This window comes from Homo sapiens, chromosome 2, assembly GCF_000001405.40.
Source record: "Homo sapiens chromosome 2, GRCh38.p14 Primary Assembly".
NCBI classification, from domain to species: Eukaryota; Metazoa; Chordata; class Mammalia; order Primates; family Hominidae; genus Homo; species Homo sapiens.
The window spans coordinates 48902735-48922647 of record NC_000002.12 but is presented as its reverse complement, the minus strand read 5'-3'; the positions used below and the strand labels follow the sequence as shown (position 1 = coordinate 48922647).

Below are 19913 nucleotides of genomic sequence, written 5' to 3'. Positions count from 1 at the left end.
ATGTGGCTTTGGCACCACATAATGGGTGGAGGCTGAAAGAGTTTGGAGGAACAGGCAAGAAAAAGCCTGAATTGCTGTGAACGGAGCACTCAGGGAGATCCTGGTGAGGGCTCAGAAGAGAAGAGTTGTAGAAAGAGCCTCATTTCTCTCAGATTATCTAAGTGGTTGTGAACAGAATGTTGGTAGAAATAAAGACACTAAAGACCATTCTAATGAGGTCTTAAATGGAAATAGGTATCAATATATGATATTGGAAACTGGAGGAAAGGCCATCCTTGTTATAAAGTGGCAAAGGCCAAATTGTGTCCTTGACTGAATTGTGTCCTTGTCCTAGTGTTTTGTGGAAGTTGAAACTTAAGAGTGAAGAACTAGGATCCTCGGCAGAAGAAATCTCTAAACAAAGTATTGAACGGGCTGCATGGCAATTACTTCACTGCTTATAGTAAAATGCAGAAAGAGATAAACTAAAGGCACAATTTTTAACTAAAAGGGATGCAGAACTTAATTGGAAAATTCTCAGCCTGTAAAAATGAGAAAACACATTCTGGAGAGAACACCAAGGATGTAGCTAAGCAAACATTTTGATGGAGAGATTAGTATAAATAGAAGAAAGTTGGGTGCCTTGATCAAGATGATGGAAGAATGACCTGAAAGGTATTTTGGAGAACTTTGAGGCTACCACTCTCACCATAGGTCAGAGTACCAAGGCTTTGAAAGCAGAATGGTTTCCAGGGGCGAGCCCAGGGTAGCATGGGACTTGGGCCTTGCTGCCCAGGGCCACCTCAAGCTTCTGCTCCACACATGCTAATGCAGCAATCCTTAGCCACCCTGGTGTGGCTTGGGCTGCCATTCCAGAGGGCACAAGCTATAAGCCTTGGTGGTGTCCATATGGTACTGATTCTGCAGGTGCAGGGTGCACAAGCTGAGGAGGCATGGCTACCGCCACCTAGATTCCAAACAGCACCTTGGAGAGACCTGGGGCCCAGGCAGAGAACTTCCACAGAGATGGGCCACCACAGAGCATCCCCATTAAGGCAATGCCCATTACAGCTATGGGGTCAGGGCCACTGCAGACAGCCTCCACTAAGAGGATGCGCTATGAAGCCTTAGTGGTGTGGCTTACCCCAAGACTGAACAACTGTAGATCCACCAATGTCCAAGTCTAGCCCAGGAGAGCTACAGGCTCTAGGCCTCAACCCATGAGAGCTGTAGCATGGGCTGTACCCAGCAATGCCATGGAGCAGAGTCCCCTGAAGCCTTGGGAACCAAACCCCAACCAAGTGACTAAAAAGTAAGACATGGAGTCAGAGATTATTCTCAAGCCCCAAGATTTAATGCTGTTTGCCTTGTTAGGTTTTAGACTTACGTGGGACTTGTTACCCCTTTTGTCCTTCCTATTTCTCCTCGTTAGAATGAGAATGTCTATCCTATGCCTGTTCCACCATTGTATCTTGGAAGCATATAGCTCGTTTGATTTCATAGGCTCACAGCTGGAGGGGAATTTGCCTCAGAATGAATCATACCTTGTGTCTCAGTGATATCTGATTTAGATGATATTTAGATAAAACTCTGAACTTCAGACTTTTGAATTCAATCAGCATTGAGTTAAGACTTTAGGTGCTATTGAGATAGAAAGAATGTATTTTGTATATGTGAAAGACTTGAACTTTGGGGGGCCGGGGGTGAAATGCTATGGTTTGAATGTTTGCCTGCCTCCAAATATCACGTTCAAACTTAATCTCCAATGCAGCAGTATTAAGTGGTAAAGGCTTTAGGAGGTGATTAGGTCATGAGGGCTCCTCTTTTGTGAATGAAATTAAGGCCTTTAAAGGGGCTTTATACAGTGTTTGACCCTTTTTGCCCTTTTGTTTCTTTGGCTATGTGAGGACACAGCATTAGTCCCCTCCAGAGGGCATAGCAACAAGGAGCTATCATGGAAGCAGAGACCAGAAAGACCAAGCTTTCACCAGACACTGAATCTGCCAGTGCCTTGATCTTAGACTTCCCAGACTCCAGACTATGAGATACAAATTTCCGTTATATATAAGTTACCCAGTCTCAGGTATTCTGTGATAGCAGCACAGACAGACACCCATGCACACACCAACTCTGCCTACAAAAATTCAAGAGCTGCAAACAACAATTGTAATTTAGAAGGGGCCATGCAGCAAGGAGCCAGAAAACAGATTCTAGAGAGAAAGACTAAACTGCGGCTTCCAAAAAGCGTGAGACAACATTTACTCCTTGAAAGTGAGGGGCACACACTGTGATGCCAATTTTAGTTTGTAATAGAAAGACGGGGATATGCAAACTGAGGGTGTATCTGTGAGATCCAAGAAACAGGGAAAGCTGGGATAAATGAAGAAACATGTGTTTTCAATCTGTGTCTATGGCGTCAGAAGAGAATAGAGAAACGTATTTAAAATAATAGTAAATTAAAAGCAGTAGAGCTGACTATCTTTGTTGAGTGAAGACTAAATGAAATTACACACAAAACTCTGGATCATAGAAAAAAATACTAATCTGAATAGCCTTTCTCCTCCCTTACAGTTTAGTGGGTCAAGAAATGTTTGCCTCTTTTAAAGTTGAGTCATTTTTTTAAAAAGCGTAGAATTCATACAAAGATAAGATGGAAAAAAGAAAAGAATAAAGAAAAGCAAATGCTTTTTAAAGAAAGGCGAAGAAGAATACAGAACAGTCCCATGGAGAAAAGGAAAACTGCAATAGAAATTTAAAAGAACTAAAAAACAATGTCCTCTGTTAGACATGCACACAAAGCTCATATGCGAAAACTCAAGGAAGAAAGAGCAAAACCAGAAGAGCTAAATATGGGCTGGAAGCATTCAGAAAAGAAAAAAATAGGGCCCTCACAGAAATAAAAGCAAAATTAGAAGGAGCAAAATGGAAAACAACCACCAGTTAACACAGTATGAGACATAAAGAGACATGAAGGAAAGAAAAAAATTAAGTGGAAATAAAGTTTAAGAAACTTCAGAGAAGGTAATTGATATGGAAGACAGTTAAAGTTAGCCAGAATAAAAATAATCAGAATGTCCAAAAAAAGAAAAAAAAAAGCAAAATTGAGAGACTGAACTATACAAATGGACAATATCAAGACCATATATACAAACACAACTATGACCTACACTCTGCAGTGACCAGAAAACCAAATAACAACCCCTGTAGCAACTGGCCCAAAACAGCTAGGACTTGGTCAAGAACTATCAGCTTAATTCCATGTTCTCATCCACCCCTGCAACCCTTCCCACCCGCTTCCAATTAGGAACAGCCTGAGAAAGCCAAATACACTCCTCAAACCAATCATAAAACACAGCACTTCCCCATTTCTTCTTTTTATCAGGTTTGTCAAAGATCAGATGGGTGTAGATATGCAGCATTATTTCTGAGGGCTCTGTTCCATTGGTCTATATCTGTTTTGGTACCAGTACCATGCTGTTTTGGTTACTGTAGCCTTGTAGTATAGTTTGAAGTCAGGTAGTGTGATGCCTCCAGCTTTGCTCTTTTGGCTTAGGATTGACTTGGCAATGCGGGCTCTTTTATGGTTCCACATGAACTTCAAAGTAGTTTTTTTCTAATTCTGTGAAGAAAGTCATTGGGAGCTTGATGGGGATGGCATTGCATCTATAAATGGTGATGGGAAAACTGGCTAGCCATATGTAGAAAGCTGAAACTGGATCCCTTCCTTACACCTTACACAACAATTAATTCAAGATGGATTAAAGACTTAAATTTTAGATCTAAAACCATAAAAACCCTAGAAGAAAACCTAGGCATTACCATTCAGGACATAGGCATGAGCAAGGACTTCATGTCTAAAACACCAAAAGCAATGGCAACAAAAGCCAAAATTGACAAATGGGATCTAATTAAACTAAAGAGCTTCTGCACAGCAAAAGAAACTACCACTGGAGTGAACAGGCAACCTACAGAATGGGAGAAAATTTTTGCAATCTACTCATCTGACAAAGGGCTAATATCCAGAATCTACAATGAACTCAAACAAATTGACAAGAAAAAAACAACCCCATCAAAAAGTGGGCAAAGGATATGAACAGACACTTCTCAAAAGAAGACATTTGTGCAGCAAACAGACACATGAAAAAATGCTCATCATCACTGGCCATCAGAGAAATGCAAATCAAAACCACAGTGACATACCATCTCACACCAGTTAGAATGGCAATCATTAAAAAGTCAGGAAACAACAGGTGCTGGAGAGGATGTGGAGAAATAGGAACACTTTTATACTGTTGGTGGGACTGTAAACTAGTTCAACCATTGTGGAAGTCAGTGTGGCGATTCCTCAGGGATCTAGAACTAGAAACACCATTTGACCCAGCCATCCCATACTGGGTATATACCCAAAGGATTATAAATCATGCTGCTGTAAAGACACATGCACACGTATGTTTATTGTGGCACTATTCACAATAGCAAAGACTTGGAACGAAGCCAAATGTCCAACAATGATAGACTGGATTAAGAAAATGTGGCACATATATACCATGGAATACTATGCAGCCATAAAAATGATGAGTTCATGTCCTTTGTAGGGACATGGATGAAGCTGGAAACCATCATTCTCAGCAAACTATCCCAAGGACAAAAAACCAAACACTACATGTTCCCACTCATAGGTGGGAATTGAACAATGAGAACACGTGGACACAGGAAGGGGAACATCACACACTGGGGCCTGTTGTGCGGTGGGGGGAGGGGCGAGGGATAGCATTAGGAGATATACCTAATGTTAAATGATGAGTTACTGGGTGCAGCACACCAACATGGCACATGTATACATATGTAACAAACCTGCACGTTGTGCACATGTACCCTAAAACTTAAAGTATAATAAAAAAAAAAACACCACTTCTAGTTAGGCTACCATCTAGTCTCAACAACAACAACAACAACAAAATAGAGTCACAAAGTCAAGAGGGAAAATGTTCATAGCAATGTTCAGTGGTAGAAGAGAGTAGCACAACACCTTTGAAACCTTCTGAAAAGAAGATGAGATTCAAGGATTTTTATGTGGTTTAAATAAAATGGACAAATTGGATTATTTGCATAAGCCCTCTTATTTGCAACAGGAATCTACTAGAAGCCCAACTCTATCCAACCAAAGATTACTAGTAAAGTTATAACAAAAAGACAAGTAAAACAAAGTCCCCTGTGCTTAAATGGATTACCAAGCTTAAAACAAATGCCAAGTGAAGAGTGACAGAACAAAATGCAAATGTGATATGCCCTGACTATGTAGAATTATTATAACCAACAAATATCAACAGAGGAAGAAAAAAAAATGAGAGGCATGGTAGATACAATGATTCTGCTGAGGATAAAGGATATGCTTTTAAAAAATCAAATCCAAGACCTAATTATATAGAACAATACAAAGGTAAATGGTAAGAAGATAATATAATTGTATTACCAGGAAGCAGAGCAGGAAACAGAGAGGAAAAGGTATGCCCTCACTCTGTCCATTGGCCGTAGGAGAAAATCAATAGGTACTATATAAAGAAATAGAGGATTGGGATATTATATTTGTTATACTAATAAATGTGAAAGAGTTGAACTCACCTCTTTAAAAAGACATATTCAGATTATATCACAACATAAAATTGAATTCTGTGCTGAATATAGAGTCTCAGAAAAGCTGAAAATAATAGAATGGACAAAAATATATTAGGCTAACTCATACAAAAAGAAGAAAATCACCATCTGAATATTATACAAAGTTAAATTCAGGCTAAAAAGTATTTAACAAGTCAGGGAGGGGTATTTTTTTAATACCAAAGGGTACAAATTTCAATGAGGATAAAACAGTGTGAATATATATGAGCTCTAGAGTAATATAAAGCAAAATCTTTAGGACATTCAAAGTGAAGTAGAGAAAAAAATCACATCAGGCTATACAGTTAGTGGACAGATTTATATTGGGTTCATGGTGGCGTCATGCACGCAGACTCCTGCAAGTTTCCCTAAGTTCTTAGAGGATTGCTTTGCCATTTGATCTGAGATTTGCACAGTTCCATAAGAATGGCCCTTGTGGATAAGCACAAGGTCAAGAGGCAGCGATTGGACACAGTCTGTGAAGGTATACGCCCCCACGTCCTGAACGGCCCCGAGCACCCCACCCCCTGTGGCGTTGCTGGACCACTGCAACTGCACCGTGGATATGCCCATCCTGAAAGACCTGACCACCGTGGCCTTCTGTGATGCACAGTCCACGCAGGAAATCCACCAGAATGTTTTAAATGAAGCCGTGGGCGCCATGACGTACCACAAAATCACCTTCTCCAGGGAGGACCTGGAGAAGTTCAAGGCCCTAAGAGTGACTGTTGCAGATAGGCACTGGCCACGACAATGTGGATGGACATCAAGGCTGGCTGTGAGCTCGGGATTGCTGTGTGCAACATCCCTTCCGAGCCGAGGAAGAAACAGCCGACTCCACCATCTGCCACATCCTCAATCTGTACCGGAGGAACCGTGGCTGTACGAGGCGCTGCGGGAAGGCACGTGGGTACGGAGCCTGGAGCAGAGGTGGATCCGGAGCAGCCTGCATCCCTGCGAAGACGCTGGGCCTCTTCGGCTTCAGTGGCACGGAGCAGGCAGTTGCAGTTCGAGCCAAGGCCTTCGGATTCAGTGTCTTACTTTATAATCCCTACTTGCAGGGTGGGACAGAGCAGTCCCTGGGCCTGCAGAGGGTCTATGCCCTGCAGGATTTGCTGTATCAGAGTGACCACCTCTCCATGCACTGCAGTTTCAAGGAACATAACCACAACCTCACCAATGACTTTACTGTAAAGCAGATGGGGCAGGGAGAATTCCTTGTGAACGCAGCCCGTGGTGGCTTGGTGGACAAGAAAGCCTTAGGACAGGCCCTCAAGAAGAGCAGGATAGAGGCGCAGCCCTCGACATGCAGGAATCAGAGCCCTTTGGCTTTGCTCAGGGTCCGTTTAAAGATGCAAGGAATTTTATCTGTATTCCCCACACTGCCTGGTACAGTGAGCAGGCGTCACTGGAGATGAGAGGCAGCTGCCACCGAGATCTGTTGAGCCACCACAGGTTACATTCAGAAAGCTTAAGAAACTGTGTGAACAAGAATTCTTTGTCACATCAGCGCCTTGGTCAGTAATAGACCAGCAAGCAATTCATCTCGAGCTCAGTGGTGCCACATACAGGTATCTGCCAGGCATCGTGGGTGTGGCTCCAGGAGCACTCCCTGCAGCCACGGAAGGGATCATCCTTGGAGGCATCCCAGTGATTCACAATCTCCCGACAGTGGTACATCCTTCCCAAGCTCCCTCTCCCAACCAGCCCACAAAACACGGAGACAATCGAGAGCACCCCAACGCACAATAGCAGAGAATGCCAAAAGGTAATCATTCCAATACACTTGGGACCAAGAGAGTGAACAAATAGATGGAATAAAATAATTTGACGGTCTTTTTAACTGATTCTGGACATATCCATCATTGATGTTGCAGTGTTAAAACTACAAGAGCTAGAAAACTGAAAATGTCATCTGCTTGTGGAAGTGCTGAAAGACTAGGATGTGATTTATTAACAACCAACTTCTGTTATTGTGTGTTGAGTTTTTCATCCGTGCATGAAATCACACAAAATAAACAGAGCTTTTTCCTTTGTCAGTCCCTTGAGCATAGCAGGTCCTGACACCCTGTTCTAGAATATTGCATCAGGAGTTCAAACATCAAAATAAAAAATATTAAGAGGAAATCCTTATCCTGTGACTCTGGTCCCCTCAGTCTACAGGGGCTGGTTGCCTCTTTTTGCTAATAGGAAGATTGCATTACTACAAAATGGGGAAGCAAACTGTTTGCCTGTGGTAGACACTTGACACATAGGATTGAAGACAGTACAGGCTCCTGTACAGAGAAGTGTCTCTCACATCTGAAATGCCTACTGAGCAGACAAGTTGGTTGTTTGGTAAAACCCTCTAATGATGAAAAAAGTGTTAAGTTTCACAAGCTGTTTGTACTCAAATATATTTTCTCAGTTTCAGATCCTCTGCTATTTTATTGAGTGGAAAGACTTGAACTAAAAGGTTTAAGAAGATAATGTTGCATTTCCTTATGTCTCAGGAAACACTTTTTATGGTAACTTGTCAGATTGCCCATGAGCAAACCCACTTTTTTAGATGTTGATAAAGTCTTCTTTTCTTCATGTGATACTTCATACAAGAACACTTCAGATGTGTTAGATGTGACTGATTTTAACAAATCCTATTAGATTTGTGTCAACTAGTTACATGTTCTATTCATAGTCTTTTGTGAATCATTGCCTTTTTGTTTAAAAGGATGGCCTGTTTTGAGCCTTTGTATAGGTACCTTCCTGTTTTTGTGACAAACAAGATTTTAAAATTGTCCTAAACAGAAAAATAATGGCTATCAGAAGTATGTTTTGTTTTAGTTTGAGTTGCTATTACTGTACTTATTGTAAAGCTGGACATTTAGCATTCACTGCCATTTTTAGTAAAACGTTAATTTTAAAAAATATAGTGTCATAGACCTGACAAAGAGCTCATATGCAAAATAAATAAGGAATGCCTATTTTTATATTGGATTGCTAAATAATAACCCAATATAAAAATAGGTAAGGAGCTTACACAGTCACTTAACAAAAAGAATATTCAAATGGCTTATAAACATATGAAAAGTTACCTAGCCTTATGAGTTCCTTATGGAAATGTAAGTTAAAAATACAATGAGATGTCACTTTATTCCCACGAATATAACTAAAATTAGAAAGATCAACAATATCAAGCATTGGTGAGAATGAGGAGGAACAGGAACATTCATATCCTGCTGTTACAAGAAGAAACTTGTACAACCACTTTGAAAACTGTTAGTGCTTTTTTTTTCTAACAATGCAATGCCTAAATCTGTACCAATAGAAATGGACACACACAAACACACGGACACACACAACCCCAAATGAATGTCTGAGAATCTTCACAGCAGCATTATTCATAACAACCCTAATATCCAGTAACAGAGGATGGATAAATTTTGGTGTATTCATATAATAGAATACTGCAAAACAATCAAAATTAGCGTATTGCTGCTACATATAACAGTATGTATGCATCTCATGATTATAGCTCTTTCAGAGAAGTTAAACACAAAAGTATACATACTTTATGCACATCAATGGCCATATATGATTTCATTTATATGGTATATGAGCACTAGCAAAACTAAGTTATGATTTTCAAAGTCGGAATGGTGGTTGCTTTGAAGAATTTGGAGGGAGAGTGATTGGAGAGCTATAGAAAATGTTCCTGGGATGCTGTTACAAGGGCATTCACTTTTTCATAACTTAATTGAGCTACACGCTTTTGATTTGTGCATTTTTCAGCATGCATCCCATACTTCAATTTTAAATTTCATTTAAAAAAGAAAAAAAACTTCAACAGCCAAAAGTATTTTAAGTTTATTTCTATCGGATTGAGCCACTGGAATTGTGGAGTTTATTGCAGCAGCTAAAACTATCCTAACTACTACAGAACTTTAGAGGTCATCAACAATCATTTTACAGATAAGTCAACTGTGGCCTAAAAATTAAGGGACTTAACCAATGTCACAGAGCTAGTTGTCTATTAGCCTCCAAATCCAGTTATTTTTTCTTTTTCACTATGTTTCACTGCCTCAACTTAATGTGCACACCACTTAACACTCTCATCCCTCTTGGCTCCCAATAAACAAACCATAATAATAGAAAGTGTTATCTACCCACTCAACAGACAATTTCATATGATAGTACCTACTGCAATTGCTTCTGAAATTACCCAAATGTCTTCCTGTAAACCTTAGTAATTGAGTTTGGCATATAACACACTTTGAAAAAGAAATAATACTTTTCCCAAATCGAAAACTTTAATTTATTTATAATAATTTATAATTAATTAATTTAGTTAATTCCAAGTGTTTTGCTACCCCTAAATCATGCATCTATTTTGTAGTTTTTTTAACCTATTAGCGTTGTGATGGATTAGATGTCTCAATTAAGCCAAATGATGCCCTATAATGTCCCTAAAGAGTGGTATGAATGGAAAACTTTAAAATAAACATGTCTGGACAAAAATCAAATATATGAACAAAGAAAATCATATGTTTTAGACACTCAAAAGAGCAAACTACAGAACCTTAGGAATCTTTTAAGAGAAGGTTTCTTAGGAAAAGGATTCTTAGGAAAGATTCTTAGGAATCTTTTAAGAGAAGCATTTCTCGGCATTTGTCTTTCAGTGAAAATCTCAGCCAGTCCTAGGCAGCTGTCCCCAGTTTTCAGCTTAAGTGAGACACCCACTGGAGGCTGAGAGAGTGGCAGAAGAGAACCCAGTCCCACACTTCATCTTCCCCAGCTAAGACTCCTGTTCTGGAATATGGGAGTCACGTTCAGAGTCCTTCAAGTAAGAGTTGTGTTGATCTCATCTCAAAGAAAACTCAGCAGAATAATTTTGTGGAACAACGGTGAAGCCGGCCTTCCCAGTTTCTCTCCCTTTTTTTTTTTTTTTTTTTCTGAGACAGGGTCTCACTTTGTCACCCAGTCTTGAGTGCAGTGTCACAATCACAGCTCACTGCAGCCTCATCTTCCTGGGCTCAAGTGATCCTCCCACCTCAGCCTCCAAGTAGCTGGGACCACAGGCATGCGCCACAATGCCCAGCTAATTTTTGTATTTTTTGTAAAGATACAATTTTGCCATGTTGCCCAGGCTGGTCTTGAACTCCTGGGCTCAAGTGATCCTTCCACCTTGGCCTCCCAGTGCTGGGGTTACAGATGTGAGCCACTGCACTCAGCCCCCAGTCTCCATTCTTGACTACACCCTATCTTCTAGTATGTTGCTGTATAGATTGAATTGTGTCCCCTCAAAATTCACATGTTGAAATCCCAACCCCTTGATGTAACTGTATTCGGAGATAAGACCTTGAGGAGGGTAATTAAGGTTGAATGAGGTCATAAGGGTGGGCACCTAAATATGATAGGACTGGGGTCCTTATCAAAAGGGGAAGAAACATCAGAAATCTCTCTCTCCCTCCACATGCACAGAGGAAAGGCCATGTGAGGACACAGCAACAAGATGGCTATCTGCACTAGGGAGAGAGCCAGTATGAGAAACCGAATCAGCTAGCACCTTGATCATGGACTTCCCAGCCTCTAGAACTGTGAGAAAAAATAATGTCTGTTGTTTAAGCCACCCAAGCTTAAACATTTTGTTATGGCAGCCCAAGCATACTAATACACTTGCTAATTTGGGCAACTGTGTTGCTGCCAGATCATTTCTGGGCAAAATCCTTTCTTAGTGACATTTGCATCTTCAGAGGGAGCACTTAGAGACCCCAAACTCTTCATTATCAAAAAAGATTGATCCCAAATGGTAAAACTCTAGTCATCATGACAGATCTTGCAAGGAGTTATGTGTAGAAAATAGACTGGCAAGTTTAGATGGAGACAGATCAAAGAACTTTAAATATCTAGCTAAGAAGTGTGGAATTTATTTCAGAGACAATGATGAGTCACTGAATGTGAGAAGAAGCTATCATGGCTAAAGCTGTACTTTGGAGAGATAACTCTGCCAGCAGTGCAGAAAATTTTTATTATTACTATTATTTAAATGATTTTTATAATAGCTAGCATTGATTGAGCACTTACTCTTTGTCGAGCACTCTGTATGCATTATCTCTACTTAATTAAGTGAGGGAAAATTGTAAAAAAGACTAAAATGGACCAAAAAGATTACTGAGTATTATAAATGGAAAACAAGCCATGATCTGGGTTATGATCATTTTTAGCTATTCCTCAACACTGTAAAATGCAGAAAACTGACAACGATGCAAATAACTTTCATCCACTGAAATGCAAATGAATCTGCCCAGCGGAATGCAATCGATTGTTGCCTTTTAATAGACTCAGCTTGCACTTATTTGTACATTCATTTCGGCATTCCTTATTGCCTATATTATGTGTGGTTCTTTGAATTGTTCTGTAAGCCAGTTATGTCATCTCACTGGTTCCCTCATTTATTGATGAGTTACATAAAATCTGACATACTTATTATATATAAAATTGGTATTATTATCTCCAATTTAAAGATAAAGAAACTGAGGCTTTGAGAAAGAAAACCTGCCAAGTTCACATGGTGGCCTTCCAGTCAGAATGGAAGATTAATAGACTTTTCTGACGACCAGATTGGCTTCCATATGCCCTATTTCTGGAGCTTGTCTTTGAAGTCCTCCCCATCATCCCTCTGCAGGGAAGTCTCCCTTCTGTATCATATTATGCCACCATCCACAGTGCTCCCGCCATTGCCTGACCCATCTGACCAAGTAATAACTGTAAACCAATAATGGAAAAGTAATCACAAGAATTGCTATTCTGTAAACTGGATTTGGAGAAACATAGCCTCCATTTTTTTAATATATTCTGTCACCACCTTTGTGTGTAAGTAGGTGGAGGAGGTGGGGACAGGTGGAATGGCAGGAGGAATGGTCGACCACTTACAAACACTGCCCACCATCATAAACAGAGGCTCTACTTCTCTGCCTCTAATGATAGCAGTGGAAATATTAAAGATACTATTCATAATGATGATTCCTAATCATTCACACTCACATATTCCTAGTACTACAGATTTATAGTCTAAATGAAATCATAACATGATTCCCAAATGAAATAGTAACATGACAATGATTCTCTTTAAATATGTGTACTACTATAAGTTTTAAGTGCTTTCAGAGTACTATTATGAAATAGCCTTAGGAAATAGGCCAAATTTATATTATTACTCTCTCCATTTTACAAGTTCCATACAAGTGAAGGGACTTACCCAAAGTTGGCCAGTAAGACATTACAAAAACTGACTTTTTCCTCCTTAATCCAGATCAGGTCTTTCTGACTATCCTAAAGTGCACCATCCCATCTCATCTTTCTTTCCCCTTACACACATATACAACACATATGCATATATGCACACACAGTATTAACCTTAGCCCACATCAGCAGGTCAGTACTCACAGCCTCATAGACATTCCTTCTACTTTCCACAATCCCACCCATTCCCCAAACCCCACAGCTTTAGGCTAAACCCTCCTCCACTGGGTCTTTGGAGATGGAGTTTCACTCTTGTTGCCCAGGCTGGAGTGCAGTGCCCCGATCTCAGCTCATTGCAACCTCTGCCTCCTGGGTTCAAGCAATTCTTCTGCCTCAGCCTCCCAAGTAACCAGGATTACAGGCATGCGTCACCATGCCCAGCTAATTTTTTGTATTTTTAGTAGAGATGGGGTTTCACCACGTTGGCCAGGCTGGTCTGAAACTCCTGACCTCAGGTGATCTGCCCACCTTGGCCTCCCAAAGTGCTGGATTTACAGGCATGAGCCACCGTACCCGGCCCTCCTTTGGGTCTTCATTTACATGTTTCTTCTTCCACCATCCTGGACTGGACGAGCTGCGTCTCCCACTTGCTTCCATGGTGTCCTACACTTCTCCCATGAGAAAATTTGTCACATTACAATGCAATTGCCTCTTTACTTTACTATGTCACCTAATAAATTGTGAGCTCCACAAAGGCAGAAACATAGCATATTGAAGATGATCAATAAATGCCTATTTCATGTTTAAAAGAACCCGTATGGTGTCTTTAAGAACAGATCCAACCTCAGGCGAGACCCAGGTCTTCCCTGAAGTCTCATATGGAAACCAATAGCTGGGCTCAAGCATGGCTTTGAGTGAAGCTGAGTAGTCAAGTCTTGAATTTCCAACAAGCAATGTTTTCTAAGAGAAATAAATATGCCCCTCAGGGCCAGCATTTCCCCAGGCCCAAATACATTCCAAAAAAAAACAAACTAAGCTCTTCCAAAAACTGCTTACCAGCTTGCAGCCACCAAGGGAGTCACTCACTTATGTCTTCAGGGGTGTCAATAGGAAAACATTTTGCCCTCGGCTGTGTCACTGGGGAATGGGAAGAGTCAGGTCTCCTGCCTTGGCTGGGAGGGAAGGTAAATTTAACCTGAATTCTCTTTCCTGCCTCTGAGATCTGGCTTCTCCTCTCTGACTACCCAAACCTCCCCAGTCTTTAATAAAATTACCTAATATTCATTCAGCTTTTACTATGTGTCAGGCACTGTTTTCAGCACTTGAGATATACCAATTCATTTAATCCTCAAAACAATCTATGAGGTAGGTGTTACTATTATTCCTATTTTTATAAATGAAGAAACCGATGCACAGAAAGATGCAGAAAGCCACCAAGGTCACTAGTAAGTGGCAGAGTTGAGATTCATACCGTTTAAGTCTGGCTTTTATCTGCCTTGAGGACTATTTTGGGCCCCACTAGTTCAGGACTGTGTCCTCCAAGAAACCTACCTGACCACTTCATCCCAGGCATCAATTCTGTCCCCACTCTGAAGGCTTCTAGCAATTACTTTCAGCACAATCTAATGGGTAATTAACTCCCCTTCTGGTGTTCTAGTGTGGAAGTCAAGGCTAAAAGATGCTGTCCCCTCATCTGCCTTTAGCCCCAAATGGGAACTTCACTATGCATAGTATTTTGTCTTCACAAAAGGAATGGAGGGGTTGGTCAAGTGAGGATGAGCTTCGGCTATGCAAAAGGACAGCTTCTTACTAGCTAAGAGAAGATTTGTCACTCAGCAGAATTGAAAAGCTGTGTATATTCCCAAAGAAAACCTCCACAAGACTATTTAGAAAGTTATTATAGCTCTAAAAGGAGAAAAACCTCTAATGTTTCTCATTGCCTAAAATAACAAAAACTACTAATAGATATACTTTGCCTTCCATTACATGACAGGTGAGCTCTGTAGCACTATTAGGAGACAGCAGAACAGGGAGTTAAGCTCTGGGCTACAGAGCCTGTTTCCTCACCTTCATTTTATAAATGCTTCATAACTAATGATGCTGAGATGACAATCTTTATCCTTTGGCAGAAATCAATAGTCTGTCAGAGGAAATCCTTTCAGGCAGAGATTATTTAGTCATCTTCATATCATCATCATGATGAGAGATAACATTTATTGAATTCTTATTATGTGCAAGTCATTGTAGATGAATTACCACTTCTCATTCTCCTTCTAGCCTTGGAAAACATTAAATATCAGGGGGCACGAGGCACTAATTACTCACATTAAACCAAGCCAGTGCCTGTCCTCAGACAGCTTTATTTCAAGCAGCCTGAAAGAGGACCCACAAAGTGGAACAACAAAACCTGTCCTGCACATCGTTGAAAAACAAAGTTTCTACATAAATGGTGATATGATTTGTAATGTCCTAAGAAGTAGGTTCAAATCCTTCCTCAGCTACTATTTGACTACAGGCAAGTTACCTAGTATCTCTGAGCCTGAGTTTCCCCAAAGGAAAAATGGAATAAGAATACCTCACCAGAGCTGTGATGGCCGAATGATACAATAGTTGAGAGCACCTAACAGAGTAAGCTCTCAGCACGGGCCCACTCCCTTCTCTCCGATGTGGACATCTGAGACTTCCCCTTTGATATGTCAACATTGTTGACCAACTTTTATAGAAATCTTTCTAAAACTCTTTTCTAACTTACTACACAGAACAAAATGTACATCTTTTAGCTTTTTCTTTATAGTCCAGGGTCATAACCGAGACACAAGACTGCTTCTACATTGAGTGGCTTCAGACTACAGATTCTGCTATGTTCTTCCTCTTTTCGGGAACTTTTTGGAGTGTCAGCTTCAAGCAGCCCTCCCTCCCTCCACCCTCATTCCTCCCTTGCCTGGGCTTTGCCACATCAGCAACCTCAATTTTCACAAAACTAATTCAAAATAGATTCTGGCCAGAAGACATCTCTGCTATTGTTTCCTGCAGAGTGACTTCACAGACAGGCCTTGTGACAGCTCCTTTCCTTTGTCCTCAGAGGTCTTTGGCACTGACTTCCATATCTGATGATGTTTTCCAGATGTTGAAGTACCTCCCCGCCTCCCAAAAAATTCAGGAGATAGGTTGCTACTAAATACTTATGTAACTTACAAAATGTATTTTTCCTTTAGCCCGCATTAGTTACTTAGTTTTTAAGCCTTAGGTGGGAGAGTAAAAAGTAGGAAGAGATAGAGATAGCTTTCTGATAATTCCTTTTTTTCCTGACGTTCCCAGATAGTTGGTCTGAGTGTATGTAGCTAAAACTGAACATAGTTCTGAAATTGATAAGTTTCTCCTTACAGTGGCAGACAAGTCCTGGCTGAAATCCAAACCAAAGGGAGGTCTTTCTAATAATCCTCAAAGTGTTTCCTCTTCCTCTTTGCCTGTCCAAATAAACCCAAGCTTGCAGATCCAGTTAAAATCTTGTCTTTTTATGACATGAAGTCTTCCCTAACCAACCCACTCTGACATGTCCTTCTCTGCTCTGGGCTCAGTTATTCATCCAGCCCCTTGAGACCACATTGGCAAGGTTGCCTCCCACTGGGATTTAACTCTTCATGTGTGACCTTTCCTCATTACTCCCATCATCCCTCTGACCACATATAGAGCTTGTACTATCTGTAAATTTTACTGGAAATCACTGTGGGCAATGAATCTGTAGAAACATCTGTCCCACCCCTATTCCCAACACCTAGTGGTTAAAACTTCAGCCTTTCTGGGTCAGCCTTTGGGCTTTCAGGGTATATGTGGATGGCTACACCCTGGAAAAGTAGCACCCACCTCTACAACACACACACACACACGCGCGCGCGCGCGCGTGACCTTAAGCCAAAGGGGAAGTTGTTGGCAGCTCAAAAACTCTTGCCTCCAACCGGCCTGTTGTCTCAAGGGTAGAACTACTCAGCCGATTTGGGTGCACAACTAACTGGCTCAAAATAAAACTTCAGGCTTCCAGAGTGTGAAGAGCTAATAAATCCTTAGTGAATAAAGCTTTCTAAATTGAGTTTATTTTATGAGGCAATTCGAGAACACTTCTGGCATTTTGTACTGGAAGAGCAAACTGCAACCGTAAATATTAACAAGATGGTAGAAGGGGTTCAGGGGTTGGGAGGTGTGGAGTAAGGAAACTGGACATCAGACATGGTTCCCAAACAGGATATCCAGTTAAGTGAGATTGCTTATCACTGACCCCTGCTCGCTAATCCAAGCTACTTTTAGGAAAATACACTTTCAAGCAAGACGAACAATGTGTACTCCGTTGGAAGGGGACAGTGCTTCATTGTGTTAAAATCACATGAGCGTGAATATTATTAACTCTGTGTTTGTCAAATTAAGGGTCTGTTCCCAACACAGATTCTCCTACACTACCTCCATCACTTGTAGAAGGTTTTGTATATGTGCATGGTGTGTGTGTGTCTATGTGTGTGTGTATGTGTGTTTGGTTGTGGTTGCTTTGTGTTTGTTAAGTGCCAAGTGTATCTCTCTGTGGGTTGCTACAAAGTAATTTGATAAAAGTAACAGTTAAAGAGATAATTATGTGCCTTAGGGTTTACATGGATTATCTCATAATCATGTTGCCATTATTCTCAAATTACAGATGGGAAAACTAAGGCCCAGGAAACAAGTCACCTGCTGAAGGTTGTACAACTTGCAATTTATGTATTATATTGTATTTTTTTGACACAAGGTCTCACTCTGTCACCCAGGCTGGAGTGCAGTGGTATGATCTCGATTCACTGCAACCTCTGCCTCACAGGTACAAGGGATTCTCCTGCCTCAGCCTCCTGAGTAGCTGGGATTACAGGCACCTGACACCACACCCAGGCTAATGTTGACATTTTTAGTAGAGACGGGTTTTCACCATGTTACAACTTGCAATTTAAACGTAGAGATTCAAATGTCGGTCCCCTCACTCCAGGGACAGGCTTCCGAGCCCCTGTGTGATGCTGCTTCAAAGGCAAGGAGTCAACAGACCAAAGCTCTGAGGTTCTGAAGGAGTTTATGAGCCTCAGAGCTCTGCACTGAGGCTCTCACCCTAAGGGGTAAGTGAAGTTCTCCACTAGGCAAAATGTGTACACTATGGGAGGCATTTCTTGGCAATGGGAACATTCCCTGGAACTTCCAGCATTCAGGTATCAAGCAACCTATGCTCTTGCCTGGGCTCTGCCTTTGAAAGCTTCATAAGCCCGGGCAGCTCAGCCCATCTTTATATTCTACTTCAACAGGACACAGAGCTGTAACTCAGCAAGGAGCTAAGAAAAGGCTGAATCAGGGCCAGGGAGAAAGATAGGCTTTGGAGGTTCCTCAGTGTGAGCCAAGGCATTAGCATCACAGACACCTCCTGCTCTTTCTAGGTGGGTAGCTTGTCCTTGCTAAGTGCCAGTGGGCTTAGGATTTAGGCTAATGTGATCCAAAGATTATACCCCCTCCCTAGGATACTGCAGTCAGCTCATATGGATCCAAAGTCTCATCTAAAGAACTCTATCACCATGGGAGATATGAGGCCCCTTTCCTCCACCCACTTATCCCCCAATCCCACCCTGATATCCTCTGCCCTTTTCAGCTGCACCATCCCAAAACCCTACTGCTCTGTGGATATGGCAGGTATGTGGCGTGGTAGGTATGCTCGTATCACTGTTAAGACTCCTGTGTCTCCACTCAGAGAGACAGTGTACCTGAAGAATAACAGCCAACATCAGATGGATCATGCACAGGGTATTAGAACAGAACACATCTGTCCTAATATCGGTCGTTTGTCTTCAGTTTTTAATTTAGGCATCAAAATGATAGATATCAGTATATCAAAGGAAATGGAAGGCAGACCTCCCAGGCCGACATGCACAGTGTAAGAATTTACAAAGAGAATGAAGACAAATCTGTTCCCTGAGGCATGAACCCCTCAACCAGATTAAGGATATAAAATTGAGTCATAGAAGGATCTTAAATTGATTGAGAGAGACTCCTAAAATGTCTCTCCCCCATTTCTCTCATTGGCCTGACCCACTGTAGAAATCCCATCATTCTTTGTCATAGCCACATGTTAAAATTAAAAATTTCTTTGGAGGGAGTGGTTTTAGGCTGTGATTCGCCACTCCACTCTCTTTTCAGGGATAAGGATGAGCTGCCTCTAACAACTCACCAAAGAGGGCCTCCAAGGCAACCACTCAGGATGCTCTGTACTATGGCTTCTACAACAGGAGAACACTGGGGACTGGTGCCTGGCTCATGTCTGAGGAAGATCAAAAGGACTGTAGACTGAGGTCTGACTGTGGCACAGGAAATGTAGAATTTGAGTAAAAAGCAACTGCGTGGTGACAGCTGAAAGAGGCTGCTGCATAGGAACAAGCCCATGAGTGACATGTGAGCCACCCAGGAAAGAAAACAGACATGAGGTCTTCGTGGGCCCTGGGAGGGATGCCAGTAAGAGGCTGGCAGTATATCCAGTGTCTAAAAGCTGAGGCAGGAGTCCCAAGGGAACACCTGGAATAAGAGAACAAGGAGAGAGGCCCAGCTGGAGAACCCCAGAGAGCCTACAAAAGCACTCAACAGAGAGAAACTTCGCTTTAACCACTTTCCAGTCCCCGGAAGCGAAGCACATATCCACCCAGCCAATAAAAACTGTCCTCTTCTGTCCCTCCCTCTCACACCAATTCATGGTGTATCAAAACAGCAGCCAAAAAAAAAAAAAAAAAGGTAGTGGGGGAGTGGAGGGGAACATAGAGCAAGATCCCCCATTCCCACTCAAAAACTCCCACAGTGAGGAGGTGCAATCTTGAGGGTGGAGCAGGGAAATATTTCAGTTGGTCCACTTCAGAATTTTGATATACATATATTTTAGACTGGCTATTCTCATTTCTGAATTGAGTCTGTGTGAATGACGGTGTCCACCCGACTGTCTATTTCCTAAAGATAAGCACAAAGGCCATGAGCCTGCCAGTATTTGCCTCCAGGGGCACAGAACGAACCTCCGCAATGAG

At 41.5% G+C, this 19913-nt stretch overlaps 1 pseudogene; it reads left to right on the top strand.

Annotated features, from left to right (window-relative positions):
* CTBP2P5 (CTBP2 pseudogene 5) lies at window positions 5932-7583 on the top strand (annotated as a pseudogene).
* Window positions 7584-19913: the final 12330 nt, after the last annotated feature.